Here is a 24,243-nt window from a genome sequence, read left to right as displayed (position 1 = left end):
CTTCCTTTTACCCGTTAGTCAGGATGCAAATAAGATCCTAAGGGTAGATTTTAGTGGAAAAAGGGTAAGAGGAGGGAATCAGGAAGCATTAGGAACCAGTGACAATTACAGAAGTGCAGAGAGGGGAGATTGAAAGTACTTGAGACAGTGTTTTCATTTTGTTTTTTTTTTTAAAACAACTTTCCCCTGGGTTAATAAAACTGGATTTACAGGAGATGTTTATGCCTCCACACAGGCTCCCAAAGGTCTTTCAGGATGCTGGAGAAATTATAATTTGACAAGCTTCAAGTTTTGCTGGTTATCGTGAGAAATGGACTTGAGTCCACATTGGTGTGTAATAATTCACTTTCAATGCCAACTTTCCCAATGTGAGGCTTTAAGTTAGAACCCCAAATAGGATTAGTTCTGTAATATGCTGGTGGTGGGGTGGTAATTGTTGTAGCTATATAGAGCTAACTTTTATTCTAAAATGGATTGAAGACAAAGCAAGCTATGCTGGGTTCCCGCTAGCCAGGCTCAATGAGCCGAGAAGGCAGAGCGCCATCTCAAAACCAGTGTTCAAAGGAAAGGGGGGCAGAGAGGCACCCCCGGGGTGGAGCAGAGGAGCTGACTGTGGTGCTCCTGGTGGAAGAGTCTCTGATGCGCTTCATGGATCACATGAGAGAGATGAAGGAGCTTTCTGGGAGAACTTGGAGCTTCTGACCAGATCAGAAGCTGAGAGAGGTCTATTCCCACTCCTCCTTCCAAAAAACTTGGTCATGGGCAATCAGTGGGGCCTTTACACCACAGTGGCAGAAGATACTTTTAGTTAGAAAACTCTCAGACAAACCAAAACAAACCTTACGTTGGAGACATTAACCTGGAAATGTAAGATCCAGAGTCCCTAGGAATCCATTAGTCTTATGAAATTCCCCATTTTAGCTCTCCCAGGTAATAAAGCAGATTCTGAGAATGGCAACCCAAAACCACACAGCCCCTTCAGGACGGTACTGAGGCAGGTCTCAGGCTGCAGCCAGCCACAGGCCCATGACGGCCAGGGGCAGGTCTGAAGGAGGTAGGGAAACCTTTTGCAAGACAAAAAGTTGATCCAGAAAACGTTTTCCCAGTTTTTGGATCAACTTTTCTTTTTTTCCCCCTATAAATTGCATCGATTTCTTCAGTTTCCAGTGCCTCTCACCACATCCAGTTGATGTGCTGTTCCGTCCTTGCCTGGTGACTCAGACCTTCCTGGGATGGGAGAGGTGGGGGTGGTGGCAAGCAGGAGCATTTGAACAGTAATCCCTGCTAACTTTTCTTGAAGGCCAGTAAAAACACTCATCAATTTTTATCTTCTAATTAAAAGCAAATGATCATTGTCTATTTTCCATTTATTCCCATCTATTTGCAATAAGTGTATTTTGGGCCAACTTGGTTTATGCTGTTCCCAGGGAAAAAAAAGTAAAACCCACAACCAACCAAACTGCTTTATAGATCCATCCCCATGGAGCCCAGAGCTTCCTAGGCATGAAATTGACTGACGCACACAGAGGCAGCAGGTGTGGGGCCACATGCCACTTGCCGCCTTTTTTTTTAGTGTGTGTTTATAATCAGTAAATGGCTGTAGATGTTTAAATGGTTGCCTAATACTGATGGAGAGCGGATGCCATTATAACTTGAACTTGTATTGCCATGCAGATGGTGGAAATAAACATCCAATTCTGCACAGAGTTTTGTTTGTTTCTCACTTTTAAAAGATCAGCTGAGTGTCAGGCATCCATGGTGCCAGCAGGGGGGCTGCGCCTGTGGGTGGGGAGCGATAGGAAAGCTGGGCTGCTGTCGGGTTCAGATTGGCTTTTGTGCTGACAGTCAAAAACAGCAGGTTCCCCTGTAAGTGGGAGGGGGTTCATGGCAGCAGTGGACTCCACCCCGGAGTTACCAGGCAGCAGCTCCAAATACCCCTTCACAAAATCAAAATGTGTCTCCACAAAACTTAGCTCTCGGGCTCTGCTGCCTCTCACCCTTCTCCATCGTAGAAGGATTCCAGCCCTAACCATGCCTGCTGGAACTCTTGCTACACCTTCTTTTCTTTCTCCCTTCTCTTTCTTAAACACCTTGAAAAATGGAGCTGGTTGGACACAGTGGTGACAACATCTGATTCGGTTTCACCCTCCTAGCGTCTCCTGTCTGTCCCTCGAATGCCCATTGGTCTCCTACATTTTGCGGGACCTTAGCAAATATTTCTTGAACAAATGATCAACTGATTTGTTCACACTCTAGAAATAACCAACAGGGTTTAATGATAGCCTAGTCCAGAAATATTTGTTTTAACAGATTTGGAATAATCACAGAAATGAATCTCCGTGAAATTTTGCAAATCAGTGAGCAGAAAAGAGCAGAGTGAATTTGGGGACAGGGAAGTCTTCCTAGTACCTTAAAATTGCCTCATGGAGGAAGCCCACACCTTGGGAAGAAGCCCAAACCTGGGAATGCCCTGCAAGCCATTTCTCTGGGACAGTGACACTGGCCCCAAATGTAAATGTTTTAAGAGATGAATCCATGCTTCAGGGTCAAAGAATATGCTCCATGGGGGAGCAAGGGGCACAGGGTTTATGACAAAGGCCATTCCCAACAGGCTTGGTCTGTTTTATTAATGAATCCTGCAAAAGCAAGGCAAACCCGCCCCCACCTCCTCCAGTTGGCTTCTTTCCTTTATACCAGCCCTCTTTCTCTGAATCATTTCCATTTCTGTAGAGTGCTTTCTGGATTACAAAATGCTTTCATGTACATTATTTTGTTTTCATCTTCTGACAGTTTTAGGAGCCAGGCAGGGCATGATGATTATCCTTATTTTGCAGTTAAGCCCCAGAGAAGTTTGGTGATTTCCATGGCTTGTCTTGTCTGGCGTCATTCTGAGGGTAAGGTCTGGAAACCCTGACGCTCACAGTTCTGATGCCAGCCTTGGAGCTTTCTTGGAACATTAAAACATGGGGTAGGAGCCTTTGCTTTAGAGCGGGGGTGGTCAGCAAACTTTTTCTGTAAAGGGCCAGGCAGTAAATATTTTAGGCTTTGCTGGCCGTACCATTTCTGTTGCAACTACTCGAAAGCAGCAGCAATCTGTAAATGAATGGGCATGGCAGTGTCCCAATAAAACTTTATTTATGGACACTGACATTTGAAATTCATATAATTTTCACGAGTCGTGAAATATTCTTCTTTGGTCCTTTCCCCCCCGCCCCACCAATCCTCTAAAAGTGTAAGAACTATTCTCAGCTCATGGGCCATGCAAAAATAGGCAGCTGGTTGGATCTCACTTGTGGGCTGTGGTTTGCCAACCCTCCTTTAGAGCTGGTTCTGCTGTTTATCAAGTGTGTAATCTTGGATAGGTTCCCTGGATAAACCTCAGTGTCCTCAGCTACAAGACGCGAAAAGTAAGGAGGAGTTCCTCCGTCAGGGACTGGGGGATGCGATGGAGTAACTGTGAAGTGTTTAGCATGATACTTACGTAGATCACTCTTGGGAGTGGGAGGTGTCATGATAAGATGATGCTGAGTCCCTTGAAGTTGTTTGTCCTCCCAAAATATACTGATAGGGGGTGCTTGTCACTGTGTAACAACCTCAGCCTTTTTTGCACTTGGTGCTAGTGAAAAGTTGAGGGAAAATCCAACCATGCCCACAGGACAGAAATACTTTTTTTTTTTTTAAACCAAAGAAAAGCCTTTTTACAAAATAGCAACTCATCAGGGAAAAGAAATGTCCGAACTAAATGAGAGCAGGCTGCACGTTGGACCTGCTGACATGAAGCCAGGGCAAGGTGCTTCCCCACTCTGGCCTGCGTTTCCTCCTCTGCATAAGGAGAATTTTGGATTTGGTCCTCTCCCGGGTCAGTCCACCTCTAACACTCTGTCATGCCAGGTGATAACCAAAATATCTAGATCCAGCATTCATGTCTGCAATGTTCTTGCTTTGCTAGCAAGGCCCCTGCCACCAAGAGGAGATCACACGTTTTCTAGATGTCCTTTTTTACCTCCCCACAGGGTCACTGGGGCTTCCCTGTAGGTGAGGTCCTTGGGCAAGTCTACCTCTCTACACCTCAGTTTCCTCATCTGTGAAATGGGGATAATAACAATGGTCTCAACAGCACGGGGTTGAGGGGAAAACGAAATAGGATGCTAGGTGCAAAGTGCATAGCATGGGACAAGAACTTTGCCAAAGTCAACGAAGAGCTCAGTGTTCTGCATTGGTGCCCGCCTCCATGCTCAGGTCCTCAAGAGACCCGTGACGGTCTTCCCTTGATCTTGGCTTTGGTGTTGGTGATGGCGGTAAGGAATCATCTAGTAGCCAAGTAGGACCTTTTATTCCTGAGGACTAATGAGACTGTGAACTTTGTGAATCCTCCACTCCTAGCAGCCAGAAGACTCAGCCCAGGCCAGAGGTCGTGGTCTGTGGGGCTCTGGTGGTCAGCAGAAGAGGCCAGGATAGAGCGAGACGGACAATGACCACGAGCACAGAAAGCTGCAGAGGAGCAGGATCCAGGTAGGAGCCAGAGTCTGTCCACTCAGCATGTGTGAACCTGGCCTAGATTTGCCCAAATCCAGCTCCCTGCTCTCCCCTTTCAGAAGCAGAAGCTTGTGACTTGGCACCTGTTTCCGGAACCCACTATGGCCCAACCTTCTCAGAAGATTTTGCACCTTGAGCCAAAGAGGATGCAGGGCTCTTGGGACCCAAGAGCCTGAGTAGGGCTTCTGCCCTCCCTCTCCGGCCTGAAGTTTCCCATTCATCAGCTGGAACCTTCACACCTGCCCAGAGGACTGCTGACTCGCACTGACGGTGGCCACAAGGTGACAGCTTGTGTCCTGTGGGGGTAGATGGTGATAACCATCTGGTAACCAAGCAGATGAAGTCCTGGGGTGATGAAATCTTAGGAAGTAAAGAAGATTGGTCTTGTCCTTAGCTATCCTCACTCCTTTGGAGCAAGCCCCCAAAGTCCCTGCCACAGCAGGCCCTGGGCATGGAAGGGATGACTGATGACAGTGTCATTGTCAAGGATGGGTATGCCAAGGATGGAAGAGTGGCTGCTTCTGCCTTGCACCATTCCCCTCTCCTGAGCCAGCCTCCTTCCTACCTTTTGACTCCCTCTCAGGCAGTAGTCACAGCCTTCTAGAGACAAAGCTGGCGCAAATCACAGGTCAGCTGGCCTGCAGGGCAGTGGGAACCCCCAGGGCGTGGGTGGAAAGGGCAGAGGCGGGCTGGACCATTTATCTATCTGTCTGAGAGTTACTGAGCACTGGCCAGAGACTGCTCATTTCTTCTCAATATTTCCTCCTGTCCCTTAGAATCCTGACTTTAACTGGGAATAATGCTGCCCTTCCCGGTGGGAATAACACTGCCCTTCCCAGTGGGATAAGCTTCCTAGCTGATGTAACCATGCATTAAGGTTAGGCCAATGAGATGTAAACTGAATTATTGTATAGAACTGCTAGAAATTTTCGCCAAAAAAAACTGGTATGCCTTTTTATGCCTCTTTGTGCCTTTTTGTTCCTGACACAGAATTCAGATGTGATGGCTGCAGCTTAAGCAGCCATCATGGACCATGAAGTAGACACACTAAACCTGCTGCAGGAGCAAGATGGAAGGAGTCTGGACCTCTGACAATGACAGTTTCACAAAACTTTTCCTGGGGTGTACGCCTCCAGACACCTCTTATTCCTGAGAGGCAGATAAACTGCTCCCTTTTAAAGCCACTGTTGTTTTGAGTTGATCTGTTACACATAGTCAAACCTGATCCAAACTCAAAAATAAAAGAAAAAGCAAAAAAACCTGATCCAAACTGATTCAAGTCCCTGCTGTGTGACAGACACTCTTCGAGGTTGTGGTGACCCAGCAGTGAGGATAGGATGGTCACCAGCACAGTGACCATAGTGCCTGCCCTGTACAGCCACATTCCAGTGGAGAGAAAGCTATATATGAGGAAACAGTAATTTTATGAAATAATTGGTGGCATGAAATAAAACAGGTGATATTGAGTGAGACACAGTTCTGAGACTGTCTCATTTATTAACTAATCTAATCTTCATATCAATTCTGTGAGGTGGTGACAATTATCATACCCATTTTACAGATGAAAAAGGAGGCCCAGTGGGTAGGTAACGCATAAGGACACATGCCAATGAGCAGAGGAAGCAGCATGTGACTCCCAACACTCAGCCTCCAGAGCTCACCCTCCTAGCAGCTTCCCCAACTGCTTCCATAGCAGGGTAGAGAGAGGAACCACTTCCCAGGAACTGTGGCCTGACCAGTGCTGGGCCCTCTAACTGACATCAGTAGTCTTTTTTTTCTTTTTTTTTTTTCTTTTTTTTTGCCCAGTCTGGAGTGCAATGACGCGATCTCAACTCACTGTAACCTCCACCTCCCAGGCTCAAGCGATTCTCCTACCTCAGCCTCCCAAGTAGCTGGGACTACAGGTGCGCGACACCACACCCGGCTAATTTTTGTATTTTCACTAGAGATGGGGTTTCACCATGTTGGCCAGGCTGGTCTCAAACTCCTGACCTCAAATGATCCGCCCACCTCGGCCTCCCAAAGTGCTGGGATTACAAGCGTGAGCCACCGTGCCTGGTCCTATCCAGTAGTCTTTATAACAACGCTATTCCCTTCAGGTGTGACCTTTCAACATGATGATCCTGGGGCGTGAGACTTAGTGGTGGCTGTCCCCAAGAGCACGCCTGGCAAGAGTACCAGCTGGAAACTGCATGAGCTTTCTGGGATGAGGCATGTGGCCTTTCTTCCATTGCCTTTTATTGGTAACAAGTAAGTCACAAAGGCTGGCTCAGTCTCAGGAGGAGGGGACACAGACTCCCGCCTTTCTCAAATAATGTATAGATTTGTTTAGAACCATCACATGAATCAGTGAGATGTGTGCTCAGTGATGGTCACTGGGTGGGGAGGAAGCAGTCGGAACACAGACATGGTAGCTGGAGCTCAAGCAACCATCTTGGACCATGAGGACTCCACGGACAGACACCAGGAGCCAACAGCACTGCACAGACAATAGTGACCATGCACAGTGAGTAGAATCTCAACCTGACACAGGTGAGTCCTAAGAGCTGAGGAGGCCTTGTGTTGCCCTGGGCATCAATACCAGTGGTCAGTGCTGGCTGGGTCTCCTCCCTGTCTATGAGAGCTCTGTGAGCTGCCGACCACGGCAGCAGCTGACTTGGGAAGCACCAAGGGGCTGGTCCAGGGCAGATGTGCCCAGGCAGGTGGAGGTGTCTGCTTGGGGCAGGGCCAGCCCTGGAGCTACACTGGCCCCTAGGTAGGCCAGGTCGAGTGAGCTGGTGTGATCACCAGTGGGTTGCTTCTAACCATTGACATCTTGGAGAGGGAGGTTTTGAAGTCAACTTTGCTTTATAGAAACCGGCCCAATTGCAGGACAGCTTTCTGGAGGGTCCCAAAAGTTGTGGAATTGCCTGAGGTCTGGGGAGTATGGACCAGGGCAGGAGAAACTCAGGGACTTGTTCCAAAAGTCTTCCAATTTCTCCCACAGCCGTCACCCCAACCACCACCTAGGAAACAGGAAACCACTCCCCAAAGAAGAGTCAACAGATGGTTCATGGAACAACAAACATAGGAACACTTGCTATTCAGTAAGGGCCTAGGCTTTTCCTATATTATCCTATGTTATCTCCTTTCACCTTCACAACAGCTCTGCAAGAGAATATCACTATTCACTTTCTACAGAGGAGGAGACTGAAATTCAGAAAGATGAAGTCATGTGCCTAAGATCACATGACAAGTGGCAGAGACAAGCCTGAAAGCCAAACCTACCTGGCCGTGAATCTTGTTTTCTTTTCTCTGCCCTATCCTAACCCTCACCTCTAGATATGGCACTGGGAGTTGGGCTTGGATACGCTCCAGGATCCTTGAGTGACAGCAGAAATATGTCTGCGGCTGCCTCAGGCCATTCAATAGTAAGCTCAGCTGGTTCCAGGACAAATCCTGTAGGAGGGGAGCACTCTCAATGCTTGGAGGCCCCATGGGGGTTCCACCAGACGCTGCCCAGACCATCTGCAGCCAGGACAGCAGAGGCGGGGGCCCAGCAGCTGGGAAAATGACTGTGGAACTATTTCCCAGAAAAGAATAATGGAAAATGGGGCTTATTAGTGGGGAAAAGTGAAGATTATGCAACTAAAGGACTGGATTTTCCATACGAAGGCTTCTCTCCCTGTCTCTCATTCTTCATCTTGCTTTGATTGCGAACAAAGCCCTGTCTTTTTCTAGACTGAGCAAATGGTTTGTCCTCAATGCTTTCTTGGGAACACTTGGCCCAAAACTCACCTTGGATGAGACCTGAGAACACAACAGCAGGGGAAAGGCTCTCGGCCCCGGGCATTTTGCCTTCTTAGACACAAAAAGTGTGAGCAGACTCCATCTTAGCATGGCTTGGGTTGCAGAGGCCCCATAAGAGAACCATGCTCCATGAACATCCTCCTAAGTCCAAAATCCTCTGAAAACCTAAAGTTTAAGAAAATCTGACCCAACTCCAACTACGTGAGGCTCTTTCTAGTCTTTGTTTATCCCACATTGTGTGAATATACATACCTTTTTGCTGCAGAAATGTCAATGTGTGTTTGTGTACAGGAGGCTGCCCTCATGTGGGTACAATGCCCCACAGTACCCTCTTTAAAAACCCCCAGATTTGGAATATGAAAAACACCTGGTCCCAAGAGGATCAGACCAGGAATTGTGAATCCATATCAGAAAAATGCATATTCTTCTTGTCCTTCTCTCATTCTTTCTTTGTCCTTTTTCTCTCTCTTTTCTCTCCCTTTTCACTCCTCCTCTTATTTTTAAAATATTCTGCTTCTTCTTTACCTTCCCTTTCTGCTTTTCATCTTTGTAGTTTTTGTTGTTGTTGTTTTTTGAGACAGAGTCTTGCTGTGTCACTCAGGCTGGGGTGCAGTGTTGCAATCATAGCTCACTGTAACCTTGAACTCCTGGGCTCAAGCAATCCTCCCCACTCAGCCTCCCAAGTAACTGAGACTGTAGATGCATGCCACTACAACTGGCTTATTTTTTTACTTTTTGTACAGATGGGGTCTTGCTTTGTTGCACAGGCTGGTCTTGAACACCTGGTCTCAAGCTATCCTTCCACCTTGGCCTCTCAAAATGTTGGAATTACAGGCATGAGCCACCACGCCTGGCTTCATCTTCGTAGCTCTTTGGCTCTCGTTTTCCTCCTATACACACACGATCGATCCATCCACCTAACAGATGTGTACGGTGGCCCCGGCATGTCGCCTGGCCATGCAGATACAATGGGGAGCCAGTGGGCATCTCCTGACCTTAGTCTGGTCCTGAGGGTGAGTCTAGCTGGGGAGCCAACAAGGAAAGAGACGATCTTCAGGCCATGCGATGGGAGGGAGGATGGGGGAAGCCTAAGGAGCTAAGGCAGGAAACACGTGGAAGGAGCACCTTACCCAGACTCGGGGCAGGATGGAGCCTAACGGGGACCTCGGAGGTGCCTTTATTTCCTCCCAGCCTCACAAGCTTTCCACCAAAGGCACCACAAATAAACACACTAGCATGTTATCCCTGCAGCATACCATCTCAACGCCACGTCCTGGCCTTCTCTTCTGCCAGCGAGCTCCGCCAGTCCCCTTTTCTGTAGGGCCACGGTCAAGGGCTCTGGAAAGGTTTCCCAAAAGAAGGGAATCTAAGAGGAGAGCTGGAGGATTTTGTTAACTGGAATTTTCTTTTTTTCCTCTTTATCATGTGATATTCAGTGTATTAGTTTCCTAGGGCTGTGTAACTAAGTACCACAAACTGGGTGGTATAATCAACAGAAGTGTATTACCTCATAATTCTGGAGGCTGGAAGCCCAGGTCAACGTGTCAGCTGAGCTGGTTCCTTCTGAGGCTGTGAGGCAGCATCTGCTCCATGCCCCTCCCTAGCTCCTGGTGGTTTGCTGGCCGTCTTTGGTGTTCCTTGGTTTGTAGATGCATTGCCCCATCTCTGCCTTCATCTTCCCGTGGTGTTCTCTGTGTAGATCTGTGTTCAAATTTCCCCTTTCTGTAAGGACGCCAGTCTTATTGGATTGGGCCCACTCAACTCTACTGTGACCTCATCTTAATTAATTACATCTGCAATGACCCTATTTCTAAATGAGGTCACATTCTAATGAGCTGGGAGTTAGAGCTTCAACATGTGAATTTGAGGGGACACAATTCAACTTATAATATCAAGTCTTTTCTTGGAGTCACAATGCTTCCAGGGGAGAGTCTTTGGTCCTTACCATCCAGCTCCATTGGATCTGTGGCTCCCAAAAGGACCGACAGGGGATGAGTCAGGAGGCAGACAAGGAGCCGGGTGGGCTTTCCCGCTGCAGAGTGAAGGAGGCAGCAGCCCCGTGACTGATGCTGTCAACCAGGGGGAGGCTGAAGGAGGCAGGGAGGCCAGGTCTGGTAGAGGAAGGCTCGGGTTCCATTAAGGCTGGGGTCAGTCGGGGCGCTAGAGCTATCTCAAAGGGTTTAAAAACAATTGTTTGATGCAAAACACTTGAACAGAAAAGAGAAAATCATGTCCCATAATTCCACCTGCCAATCATGAAGGACTTTGCAAGCTAAGCTCAAAAAAAGTGACAAGGAACAGATCAGTGTAGCATGGTGGTTCAGGACGGGGGTTGCGTGGCCGGCTCTGCCACTTATGAGCTGTGTGACCTTGGAAAAGTTACTCTCTTTGTCCTTCAGTTTTCTCATCTGCACGAGAGGGTAAACAGCTGTACCTACTGCATAGAGTTGTTGCAAGGATTCCTTGTGAGCCTATAAGCAGCAAGTGTTGAAGCCCAGAACAGACTATAACCACACTAAGTCTGCTTTTAGCTTTTTCAGAGAAGCTTACCTTTAAAGCAACTATTTAGGGAACAAGCAAACTGATCCTTCGGACCAGGAGGACAGTGAAAAAATGTCTAGTTCCTTTAAATTAGTACCATCCATGTCCAAAGCTCAGCTAAATTGCACCCCAGGACACTGAAAAACTTGCTGATATGGCCATGGAACTGCTGTGAGTATTCCCTGAGGAACCACGAGGTATGGCAGTGGCATGAGAGAGCCGGCGATGGAAAGAGCTTTTTTAGTTCCCTTTTAAGGAAAAAATGGTAAATTGCAGAAGTTCCAGATGGGAGGGTGTTAATCCCTTATAAAATTGTTAGGCAGTTTGGCACACTGGTAGAAGAAAAGAGTAAAAATCACCCAGGACTCTCATGGGCTCACTGGCTCTTTTGGGATGTGGTTAATATGGATTTGCAAAATGCTCCAGACCAGGTGGACCTTGATCTTGTGAGATGTTATCAGAGACCCTCACATTATCCTTTTGGACAGGAAGGAGAAGTGTGATCTGGCACAGATAGGTCGATTTGTCTTTGGTTGTAGGCAAAGGATGTTGAGTAACAATCAGTTTGAAAGGAAGGTCTTAAGAGTTGAGTCCTGGGTTCAAAGGTCTCCCTGTTGCCTTTTAGAAATGGATAACATCCTTCCCAGCACTGGATCGAATCTCCTCTCCCTCCCCACCCCTCTGAATATAGTTTTAATGTTTTCTTGTTTGTTTGTAGAAACACATTAAAATACTAACAACAAACATAGGATAATTTTGTATTTGCATTTTTTTTCTTAAATTTCACTCCAGTGGTGAAATGTATCATCAAAATTCAAGCCATTTGGTAATCATTTCACATTTCAGGGGATACTGAAGTCCTGAGTCTTGCTGATGAAGAACGAAGCTAGTTGGCCAATAGGCGTTCTTTTCTGCTCATGTTTTTTCACACACAAAACAAAACGAAACAAAACAAAACAAAACAAAACAAAAAACCACCATTTTCATGCTTAATATCAACTATGTGCCCAGCACTGTGTTAGAACCAAGAGACTCAGAATCATAAAATCAGAAGGAACCTGGAGATTTTTGAGAACAAGTGCAAAAGCCGTTTTCCTGATAATACAGGACTTGCAGAAGCATTCTCATGAAAGCTTTTGCTATACAGCCATCCTCAAAAGGTTTGCAAGCTTCCTTACCCTTTGTGCTGGGGTTTTACTTTTGAAATAAAAGCCGATCTCCTGGGAAAGGCCATAAAGACAAAATTGCAGTCCAGGCTTTTTTTTTTTTTTTTTTTTTTTTAAAGCAAGGAAGAATGTTCAGAGAGGAACTCCTGAATGATTATATTCATCCAACCTCTGGGAAAAAAACCAAATAACTCCCTTCCCCTCCTCCAACAACTACAAAACCAACTGGCCCCAGGATGAGGAAGGCTGGCTCGTGCCCTATCTCAGCCAGGCCCTTTCCTGGCCCTTGCTGCGGTGTGTGTGGTGGGCCCAGCTGTGTACACTGTACCCGGCATTTCATGGGGAAATTTGTTCTTGTAAGTGGAGTGGAACAGAACATGGATCATAACCGTGACAAGCCAGGAGCTGACATCCCCCAGAGTTTCCCAAAGCAGCTGCTTTCTGTTCCTTCATAGTACTATAAAGTGTGTTTTCTAAAAATGATAGGCCAAATAAAAAAGAGAGCTTCTCTTCTTCTCATCTAGTCCATTCCTCACCCCTCACTCACTTCCTTTAAGTCAGATCTCAGTTCCATCCATCAGGAGCTGGCCGAGATTGTGTAGGTAATCTAAAGGGAGGTGTTTACTGAAACATGGGGTCGCCCCAAGCTGCTGGGAGTTTGGGAGGTCAGTGTCACATGGTTTTTGTACAAATGCCTGAAACTGCTTTACAGAAATAAGAGCTTCATCCCATGTGATTTGACCAGTGGCTCTTGATCCTGGCTGCCCATTTGTAGTACTTTGGGAGCACTGAAAAAAATCTGGTGTCTGGGCCCCCACCCCAGACCCAGTGACCCAGATCTCTAGGGGTTGGCCTGGATCTCTGTAATTAAAAAAAAAAAAAAATCTTTCCACTCTTTCTTTCCTTCCTTCCTTCCTTCCTTCCTTCCTTCCTTCCTTCCTTCCTTCCTTCCTTCCTTCCTTTCTCTCTTTCTTTTCCTTCCTTCCTTCCTTCTTTCTTTCTCTTTCTTTCGTCTTTCTTTCTGTCTTTCTTTCTTCTTTCTTTTTTGAGGCAGAGTCTCGCTCTGTCACCCAGGCTGGAGTGGAGTGGTGCGATCCGAGCTCACTGCAACCTCCGCCTCCTGGGTTCAAGCAATTCTCCCTCCTCAGCCTCCCCAGGAGCTGGTACTACAGATGTGCACCACCACACCTGGCTAATTTTTGTATTTTCAGTAGAGATGGGATTTCACCTTGTTGCCCAGGCTGGTCTTGAACTCCTGACCTCAGGTGATCCACCCACCTTGGCCTCCCAAAATGCTGGAATTTATAGGCGTAAGTCACCACACCCGGCCTCTTTCCGGGTATTTCTGAACCACTTAGGCAGCAAGAGCTCGGAGTTCAACATCTGAGAGACCTGGGCTTGAAACTTGATTTCACTGCTGACTTGTGAGGGGGCCCTTGAGAATGTTTCTTAAATTTTTTTTTTTGAGGCAGTTTTCTCAGCTATAAAATGAGAGATCATAGTAACTACCTTTGAAGGTTGAAAGGATTAAATACAATGTTAGTGCTTGATACATGGTAAGTGCTTAATAAACATTGGATGTTAAGATGATTATCATGGTTTTGAAGCACTGCCAGGTGCTTGTGGATTTGGACTCATGCTGTCTGTCTCACAGCCTCCTCCCTGTGCTGTGGGCTGGATTCGAAGTAACCAGGACCCATCTTCTCTGTTTCTCTGCTCTGCCCATGAATGTATTGGGCTTCAGTCTCAAACTGAACACAGGACCGTGGCTCCACTCCTATCACCTCTTGTATTCAGGATGAGAGCAGAAGAGTGAAAATACCGCAATAGCCTTGCAGTGTATAATTGGCTCCAGTGGTGTCATTGTTCTTGACCAATCTCCCTGGCAGTGAGCGTGTGAGGCTCTGACTGGCTTAGGACTGCATCACATGGCCCATCTAGAGCCAGTGATGAAGTACAAACTGAAGAGTATGGGCTGGAGATTGGGGAGGGAAACCACAGTTGGGTTTAGTGGATGCTGGGGCAAGCACCGTAATGCTTGCCTCCTACAACCTGGCTCACCCATTATTAGTGATAACTGTGCAAATAAATAAGACCACTTATTACAGGAGTGGGATGGGAAAGAAGATGTTCAAAACCCTGTGCTATAGCTGAGGCTGATATCTAGCTGGTATGCATCAACAGGGTGCATTGGCCTGTGTCTACTCTGTTGGTTGCCATATTGCTTTTTAATTCTTTCAGTATTTCCTCTGCCTATAAGTACAATGACTTCCTGGATGCTCCCTGTACAGATTCTAATCTCTCTTTGTTTATGCTCGTCCGTCTAGCTGGTGTCATGTTCCTCCCTCTATGTGCATGTGCACCCATCCAAATCCTACCTACTCTTCAAGATCCCACTCAAATCCTCCTTTCTCAGAAAGCCCTTTGCTCCCTCACTTCCTCCTCTGACTAAAGGAAATGCATTCAGGTTTCTAGCACTTTCATCTATGTCTTTTATAGCATGCATCACTTTCAATCTTGTACAGTTATTCTAGCACATACCATTGCTTTCACTACAAGCCTATGACCTTCTATAGGGCTAGGTTTATTCAGCTCAGTGCCTTCATTATTGTGATGGTTAATTTTATGTGCAATAGAGACTCGGAAGGGTGAGGAGGTGGAAGAGGGGAGGATGAAGAGAAATTGATGAATGGTTACAATATACATTATTTGGGTGATGCGTACCCTTAAAGCCCTGACTTGGCCACTGTGCAATTTATGCATGTAACAGAATTGCACATGTACCCCATCAATTTGTAAAAATAAAAAGGATAATAAGCAAATAAAATGTTATCTGTCAACTTAGCTGGGCCATGATGCCCAGCTATTTGGCCAAATATTTTTCTGGATGTTTCTGTGAGGGTGTTTTTGGATGAGATGAACATTTAAATCAGTGAACTTTGAATAAAGCAAACTGCCCTCCATAATGTGGGTGGGCCTCATCCAATCAGTTGAAGGCCTGAATAAAACAGAGACTGACCTCCCATGAGCAAGAAGGCACTCTGACAGCAGATGACCTTTGAATTCAACTGCAAATTGGCTCTTCCTGGATCTCCAGCTTTCTGGCCCACCCTCCAAAATGTGGACTTGCCAGCCTCCATAATTTTGTGAGTGAATTCTTAAAATAAACCTCCCCCTTTATATATGCACATCTTATTGGTTCTGTTTCTCTGTAGAATGTTGGTGAACATAGTTACCTAGTGGAGTGCTTGGCAAAAAGTAAGTCTTTGTGGATAAGTGAATGAATGAATAAATGAATAAACAGATCCTTATGGCCCTTGGGTGCTCTGGATCTAAGGAAAAGCCTGCTTTTTTAACTGCAGCTGATGGGATTATGAATGGAAACAGGCTTTATAAAGGGTAGAGCTTCACACAGATGTTTGTGGTTACAATTGTTACTTCTCCCACCACTGTTACTACCTCGATTGTGGCTACTGGTTCTAGAACTTTGGCCACTGCTGGCCTTCAAGTGGTTGGCAGATCTTGCCCTCATGGATAACCTGACACCTTATTCCAAATAACCTCCACCCCACCCTCTTTCCCCAGCTGCCTAATACTGACTTGGTCAACTGGTGTTTAATTTCCTGTCTCCCTCCCCTATCTGGGCCACACCGTTTGAAGTCGTGCCTGAGTTTGTTGGAAGAAAGCCATGAGGAGGGGGCCTTCACTGTTTTCTTTTTCATGAGTAAATCATGCATCCATTGAAGAACTGAATGAATTAGCAGCTAGACAGGGACTTTTTGCTAGTGTGTCTGGTGGTAGGAGAAACCAGTTCTCCAAACTCAGTGTTTTTGTCAAGACATGTTACTGTCGCCACTGAAAAGCCTGTGCTGAATGAGAACAGTTTCTGAAACCAGTAACAAGCCCCAGATGAGAAATTGCCCCAATTTACTGGAAGTCCAAACAGCTTGGCTCCGAGGAGTGGGCTGGCACCACATTTGAAGAACAGCTGTGAGATCAATTTGGGTATGGGTTTATTAGTCATGAGCTGGGTTTGGAAGGGTGTCTATGGGGAGAAGGGTCTTGGACAGGGGACACAAACTACTGTGAATAATCCTGACAGCCACATGTATCACTCGGGAAGATTTCACTGCCTCAGCTGTGCCTCATCAGTTGGCCAGTTCAACGAAGCCTCAGTAGATAAGAAAGAACAACCCAGGCCCAGGGCCAGCTGGCCAAATCCCAGCCTGGCGTTGGGCCCGGGGTTGATGATACATATTGTCAGATGGCAGTCCCAGCCTCTGAGATTCTCACGTTGGAAGACAGAAGCCCAGGAAGGTCATGGAGCACTTGTCAGGTTACAGGAGACCCATGAGTCTTTCTGGGGTACAAGTGTTTCATCTCAGAACACAGCAGGAGGACAGCAGCCACAACAAAGGGACAAACAGTTATCAGATCCCCACCATGTGTCAGCCCCACTCCTAACCTCTGTGAACTGAAATCCTGCAGGGCAAATAGCACGCGAGGCAGTGTGAGGAGTATCAGGATTCCCAAGAGGCTGCTTCATCCTCTGAGGCTGTTAGCATCCTGGTTGGGCTTTGGTGCTGTTTTGCTTTCTCTTTCTTTTCTTTTCTTTTCTTTTCTTTTCTTTTCTTTTCTTTTCTTTCTCTCTTTCTTTCTTTCTTTCTTTCTTTCTTTTCTTTTCTTTCTTTCTTTCTTTTTTCGTTTCTTTCTTTCTCCCTTTTCCTTCTTTCTCCTCTTCTTTCTTTCTCTCTTTCTTTTTTCTCTCCTTCTTTCTTCTTTCTCTCTTTCTCTCACTTTCTCTTCTTTCTTTCTTTCTTTTGCTCGTTCATTCATTTGTTCTGCTTGCAAAGATAATGTTTGCATTCCGGCTCCATGCTGTTGTAGAAAATTCAAAAACAGAAAGGTAGAAGGAGGAATGTGCTGGAAACAAATTATTTGAACATTCTGACATCTAACAGATGACATCTTCGATACCTTTCTCCTATGTATATACTCACGTAGACATTTATATGTAATTTTACATAATGAGAATTTTTGGTTTCCTAATTTGCATTTTTTACTTAGCAATGTCATACAGAGCTTCCTCCAACGATAACTATAGATACACACATCAACTTTTTATATTATTATTATTATTTTGAGACAGAATCTTGCTCTGTCTCCCAGGCTGGAGTGCAGTGGTGTGATCTTGGCTCACTGCAACGTCTGCCTCCTAGGATCCAGCAATTCTCGTGCCTCAGCTCCCCGAGTAGCTGGGATTACAGGCGTATGCCAACACACTCAGCTAAATTTTGTATTTTTAGTAGAGATGGGGTTTCACCATGTTGGCCAGGCTGGCCTTGAACTCGTGACCTCAAGTGATCCACTTGCCTCAGCCTCCCAAAGTGCTGGGATTACAGGCATAAGCCACCATGCCTGGCCCACCTCAACATTTAAAATTTTTAAATTTATTATTATGATGATGTATTTTTTGAGACAGAGTCTTGCTCTGTTGCCCAGGCTAGAGTGCAGTGGCATGATCTTGGGTTCAAGTGATTCTCCTGCCTCAGCCTCCTGAGTAGCTGGGATCACAGGCACCCCTCACCGTGCCCAGCTAATTTTTGTATTTTTAGTAGAGACGGGGTTTCACCATCTTGGCCAGGCTGGTCTCGAGCTCCTGACCTTGTGATCCACCTGCCTCGGCCTCCCAAAGTGCTGGGATTACAGGCATGAGCCACCATGCCTGGCCTATTTATTATTTTTATAGAGACGGTGTCTTGCTATGTTGCCCAGGCTGGTCTTGAACTCCTTGCCTCAAGTGATCCTCCCACCTCAGCCTCCCAAAGTGTTGGGACTGTAGGCGTGAAACTCCAAGCCTGGCTCACATCAACATTTTAAATGATGGCTTAATTTTCTGTTACATGGCTGTGTCAAAATAAATGGACTCAGACACCCATGGATGGACTCTTAGGTTGTTGCCACTTTTTTGCTCTCAGAGACCCCAGCAGAGTGATCCTCTCTGCACCCATCCACTCGCGGACATCCTCCTGCCGTTTCATTTCTACTCCGTGCCTAGTACCTAGCACCTGCCCTGTGTCTGGTAGGTTCTCCATAGATGTTTGGGGAATAACTCAAGCAAACAGCTTCATGTCCTCGTTCTGTTATCTCCTTAGGAAAAGTACCTAGAACTAGAATTTTGGGATCAAAGGGAACAGACATTTTAATTTTGGTCACACATTGCCCCCTTGCCTTCCAGAACAGTCCTGCCCACTTAACGGTCCTCCATACGTTGTCGGAGTTCCTCCTTGCTCCACCGCAACTGGGTCTTCTCCTTTATTTCAATCTCTGCCAATCAAATAGGTTCGATGCTTTATACTTAAAGCTCCATTTATCAATTTGAGTTAAAATTATTCGTCTCCTTTCTTTCTTTTCTTTACCAGCAGCTAGCCCAGAGCCTGAAGTAAGGGAAGTACTTAATAAATATGTAATGCCGTTGCTTAAGAATGTCTGTAAAGCCTGTCACCCTGCTAGGCTCCCAAGGACATGCAGAGAAATATGTCATTGTTTCTGCTGCTGGCCACATGGAGACTTGACGTGTTATCTTACATGGTCGGCGCCCACCTTTGGAAAGAAACAATGCTGTGGGAGGGAGAACACAGGAAAATGAGAGTCCCCCCATGGCGTGGGTTACAGAGGGCGTGTCCTGGGAGCGGACACAGTGTCTAAGGTGGAAAGGAGGAAGCGCGGAGCAGTGAGACCTCCCTCAATGAGGCAGACACTCCCTCACTGCATTTGCGGTTGGCATCCTTGCCTCACCCCTCAGGGAGAGATTCCATGAAGGAGGAAGGGACTCTGTGCAGTGGCCGTGGTTTCTTAACCTACAGCTGAGAACCACCTGCAAGAGAGCCCTGAATGAATACTTACTAAAAATGCATTTTCCTGTCTTCACCACAAAGCAAGTGGATCGGAGCTCCTGAGATTGGGCAGGTCCTGCCACATCCATCAGGAAATTCCTTGACATGGCGAAACTTGGGAGCCATGGCTCGGGGCAACACCTACCTAGTAGATATTAGAGTGAAACAGAGAAGGGGGATTTAGGGTTAGCATCAAAACAAATAACCCGTTAGTCCAGCACCCTCCCTGCCCTTTACACCCTCACATCAGCCCCTCTGTTCTGGTGTCAGGAGGCGAAATCTCTCTCCCTGGTTCTTGTGTAATCTCGCTGTGGGAGAACATTCTTTGGTCTGCGGGATTTAGAGAACTGGCTGAGTGTGGCTGCTGATGTGTCCGTACCCCTGCCGCCGTGGGAATGTTCGTGGCTAAGTTGTCCGTAAAATGCGAAATTCTCTTGGGATTTTTCAGGATTCTCAGGGGAGGACTTCCATTTGCCTACTCAGTGGCCGCAGAGGAGAGCACACTCTTGCTGCTCTGTCTGTCCGAGTGACAGTCCTCTTGCCTGGGACGGGCAACATCGCCCCTGGGGGAGTTGGCCAGGGCAGGCCGTTGGAGGCAGTGGCAGCTGCTGGAACCTTCCCAGGTAGTTGCCTCTAGACCTGAAGAATGGGCCTTCCCAAAGCGTGCACTGTGGAAAATGCAATTTCTGCTTCTTGCCTCCTGCGGCTTCAACGGCTGCAGAGGTAACGCCCGGAAGAGCTATGAACATGTCAGAAAGCAATCGAGGCGACTAAATCCTGGCTGTCACCGCACAGGCGCGCCTAAGTCCCGATCTTGCTTTACCCACGGTCTTGGCTCAGGCCCCCGCTCCTGATGGAGCACGGGATGGGGGGTGCAGGGGGAGCTGTGATTTCCAAGAGGCTGCCAGATGGCGGCGAGAGGCCCGGCGCACACATGTCACGCCGAATGACAGCCTCGGAAATGATGCAGATGGAGCAGGAGCCCTTTAGCCACAGTGGATGGCATTTATGCAATTCATTGAATGCCTAGGCGGGAAGTAATGCTTCCTGATAACCCGCCGGAACCGCTCACTAGAGCTCTGATAGGCCGAGACCAGCGCATTTCCAGCAGCGCAGGGCTGGTGCAGTCAGCATATGGGGGTAATGTGCGTTGGAACCATCATGCCCTGGAACCAGATAATGCAGTTGCTCTTGATGTTGCTGACTTAAGGCCAGATGAGTGGAGGACAGACGAAGAGCAAACGGCTGTGCCCAGGACCGCCCACTCCTCCGGGTTATTTTCTCTGCCACCTCCCACCAAGAGGACACTCTTCCTCTCCTTTAACCAGCGAACCCACCCCCACCTTCAAGAAGCTTTCCCGGATTTACCAAGGGCAAAAGGCCACCTGCCCTTTCCTTAGGATCACTTTTCAAACCAGGTAGTTTCCAGTACTAGAATCTCAGTTGTTTTACCCACTGACTGCGTGGCCTTGGGCAACTCTCCGGGCTGCTGGGGAGATGGAGTGAGGTAATATGCAAAGAATGTAGACCTGGCCGGGCACGGAGGCTCACGCCTGTAATCCCAGCACTTTGGGAGGCTGAGGCGGGCAGATCACGAGGTGAGGAGTTCCAGACCGGCCTAGCCAACATGGTGAAACCCCCTCTTTACTAAAAATACAAAAATTAGCCGGGCGTGATGGTGCAGGCCTGTAATCCCAGCTACTCAGGAGGCTGAGGCAGAATTGCTTGAACCCGGGAGGCAGAGGTTGCAGTGAACCGAGATCGCGCCATGCACTTCAGCCTGGGTGACAGAGCAAGACTCTGTGTCAAAAAAAAAAAAAAAGAATGTAGACCTGTGCCTGGAACAAAGGAAGGCTCATTATTAGAATTATTATACATAATATATAATCCATATGTTATTACACATATTACATATACACATATTATAATATATAATATACATAAAATATGTACATTGTATATATAATTTACCTGTATATATGCAATTTAGTATACCTGCATGCGTGCAATTATATATTGTAATATATAATCCATATGTTATATACACATATTACATATACACATAATATGCATATACATAAAATATGTACATGGTATATATAGTATATCTGTGTATATGTATTTAGTTACATATAAGTTACATATTAAGTTACAAATTAAGAAAAAGAAAATATAAAGGGAATGGAAATCCCTTATTATCTGTATTGGGTCATTTTCGCATTGCTATAAGGCAATACCTGAGACTGGGTAATTTCTAAAGAAAGGGGTTTAACTGGGTCACGGTTCTGCAGGCTGTACAGGGAGCATGATGCTAGGATCTGCTTGCCTTCTGGGAGGCCTCAGGAAACTTACAATCATGGTGGAAGGCGAAGAGGGAGTGGGCATCTCACATGGTGAAAGCAAGAGCAAGGAGGTGGAGGTGCCACACTTTTAAATGACCAGATCTCTGGAGAGTTCACTATCATGAGGACAGCACCATCAAAATTGTGCTAAACCATTCATAAGAAATCCACCTCCATTATCCAATCACCTCCCACCAGGCCCCACCTTCAACAATGGGGATTCCATTTCAGCATGAGATTTGGGCAGGGACACACATCACTGTATCACCTTCCTTCTGTCCCTGGGGGGTGGGGGACAGTGGTTGTGGGAGAAAAATGGCACTAGAGAGAGATTGAACAGGTCACGTAGCTTTTCCATTCCCAGCAGCCATGGCTGGAGTGGGTAGCTCTAGGAATATCCAGACAGGCACAAGTGTACTAGAGCACACAGAGCTTGCACCTTTTCCACTGGGTAGTCAGGACTCAGGGGAGGCTGCAGGCCCCAACGCGGCTCTGGAGCGATGATGAGAAGCAGAGGAGGGAAGGGGAGCTGGCTACCACACAAGCCTGAGGTGGTGCTTTCCAGCTTCCTGCCCTCTTTTGTTTTGAAAAAACCAAGCCCTGAAGGGAGAGAAATTGCTTTTTTTCTAAATTCCTTCATTTCACTATTTAACATAGGCCAGAAAACAGGCAGTCACAGGAAGAAAGGGACACAGGCTGCTGGTTAGACTGTGAATTTTCTAAAGAGCTGGGTTTCTCTTCTGCCTCACAACCCAGGGTACACGTGGAGAGACAGAACTTGGGGGAAGAGAAAGTGAGCCTTCAGCCAGCAGTGTGGAAGCCAAGCCCAGATGGAGAGGCCCAGAAGCCCTGGAGCTCAGGCCTGTCCAGTGGCCTGCATGTGGAGCACCAGGAGGGCCAGGGTTTGTTTCTCACTCTGCTTTCCTGAGCTGCGTGGGTTGGACCCAGAGGTTCCAGCAAACCATGGATAAGGAAACTTGGAAGCAAGCTAAGTGCCAATGCATCTGCCAGGGGCAAGGAAGGCAGTCAAGGCCAGCGGGTAGATGCAGAAGTGTTTTCTCAGCTGCAATCCCACTCCTGATACCCCTTCCCTGCTCTCCATTGAGGAGAGATCTCTGATTTTTCTTTCAGGTAGTAGTAGATAGAGTCCCAGGGGTAGAATGATGATTGACCTAGCCCATCATGGTAATCCCATCCTCCTTTGCTAAGGATTAAATTTACCAGCCTCTCTTGCAGCTAGGTGTGACCATTGTTTTAGTTCGGGCCAATGAGATGTAAAGGAAAGTCTGTTGAGGAAATTTTGAGAAAGAGAGTAAGAGCAAGCCAAGGAAGAAGTTCTGAGAGCCAAGGAAGAAGAGATGCTGACTTTCTGCCTTTGAATGTAGCCATGATGTCTGGAACAAAAGCAGCCATCTTGCTACCATGAGGTAACAAGCATGAGGATGAAAAGACAACCATCCATAGATGGCAGAGTAGGAAGACAGAAGTTGGATCTTTTGCAAGAAGATCTTTTGTTGAGAAACTAAACCAAAGGCTCTAGGCCTTTTCTTGAGTAAATTGTAAATGACCTTATGGTTTAATCCACCAATAGTTGGGTATCTGATACTTGCAGCAGAGTGTATTTTTGTTGATATACTAAGTATTAGGGTTCAGTCAGGAAAATAGAAACTACATCTCTTTTTTATTTTTATTTTTTTGAGACAGAGTTCTGCTCTGTCGCCCAGGCTGGAATGCTGTAGTGCAATCTCGGCTCACTGCAGCCTCCACCTCCAAGGTTCAAGTGATTCTTCTGCCTCAGCCTCCTGAGTAGCTGGGATTACAGTCTCATGCAACCATGCCTGGCTAAATTTTGTATTTTTAGTAGAGAAGGGGTTTCTCCATATTGGCCACGCTGGTCTCAAACTCCTGACCTCAAGTGATCCACCCACCTCGGCCTCCCAAAGTGCTGGGATTATAGGCATGAGCCACCATGCCCGGCCACATCTATTATATTAACAGAGATAGTTTAATACAAGGAATTGGCTGAACTGAGTATTGAAAAGGCAAACTGGGACCACTGAGATCTCAAAGAAGTAGTAGCTGAAGGAAGCAGCTTCCATCCTTAAGACTGGAGAATCAGAAGAGGTCGGGGTTATGAGGACTTAGAGGCATGGAGGAAGTGCCCTGTAAAGCTGGTATCCAGGCTGGCTCTGGAAGGGTGGGAAAAAGCTGGAAACAACTGCTGCTGCAAGGCTGAAGGCTGGTGCTGAGGCTGTGCAGATGGGAACAGGAAGAAAACAGGAGGAAACAAGCTCCTTTTCTCTGCTCCGCTGCCTTCCGGTTTCCCCTGAGAAAAAAAGAACTTTTATCTGAGGAATGCAAGTCCTTTTAAATGATCAAGCCCAGAGAGACAAGACAATGAGACAGCACTCTCATCCTACACTTCACTTTGAGCTATGCATTCATCTCTTGAAACTGCTTACTATTACCACAAGAAGCTGTAAATTAACCCAGTAATGCCACACCAGACACTATAACCCATACCCTGTAGCTTCACAATGTATAGCCAATCCCTAATTAATGTTATTTCTGTAAACCAATGAGGATTCCTGACAGCGTTGTAGCAGCCCACTGCCTCCGTGTCCCCTTCTTTCCTTTAAAAACCTGCTTTTAAGAAAGGCAGAACGAAGCTCATAGGCAAGGTTACTTGGGTCTGAGTCTTCCAGGCAGCTGTCCTCACTTTGGCTTAAGTAAACTCTTTAAATTACACTTCATGCCTCAGCCTCTTCCTTTCAGGCCAACACTCTCAACCAATAGAATGTGGCAGAAGTGACAAGTAGGTAGGCTCCGGAGCCTGGACCTTGGAAGGCCTTGTGCTTCCCTCCTGCCCATCTTGGAATATTGCCCTGACATGGCCCTACCATGAAGAACGAACAGTGAAAGACCATATGGAGAGAGATGCCCAGCCCAGAGAGCCAGAGCCCAGCTGCCTCA

The 24,243-nt window shown here is 46.8% G+C and overlaps 1 long non-coding RNA gene across 2 annotated transcripts; it reads left to right on the top strand.

Moving 5' to 3' along the window:
• Window positions 1–3,113: 3,113 nt before the first annotated feature.
• Window positions 3,114–8,791, top strand: LOC105374534 (uncharacterized). 2 transcript variants are annotated; one of them, XR_925488.2, is made up of 4 exons: window positions 3,114–4,512; window positions 4,596–4,817; window positions 6,636–7,622; window positions 7,858–8,791. It is a non-coding gene; the product is annotated as an uncharacterized LOC105374534 (long non-coding RNA). The 2 variants fall into 2 exon arrangements; XR_007058087.1 differs by lacking the exons at window positions 6,636–7,622; window positions 7,858–8,791 and having other exon boundaries at window positions 4,596–6,008.
• Window positions 8,792–24,243: the final 15,452 nt, after the last annotated feature.

This window comes from Homo sapiens, chromosome 4 (assembly GCF_000001405.40).
Source record: "Homo sapiens chromosome 4, GRCh38.p14 Primary Assembly".
NCBI lineage: Eukaryota > Metazoa > Chordata > Mammalia > Primates > Hominidae > Homo > Homo sapiens.
This window is presented reverse-complemented; position numbering and strand designations above follow the sequence as displayed.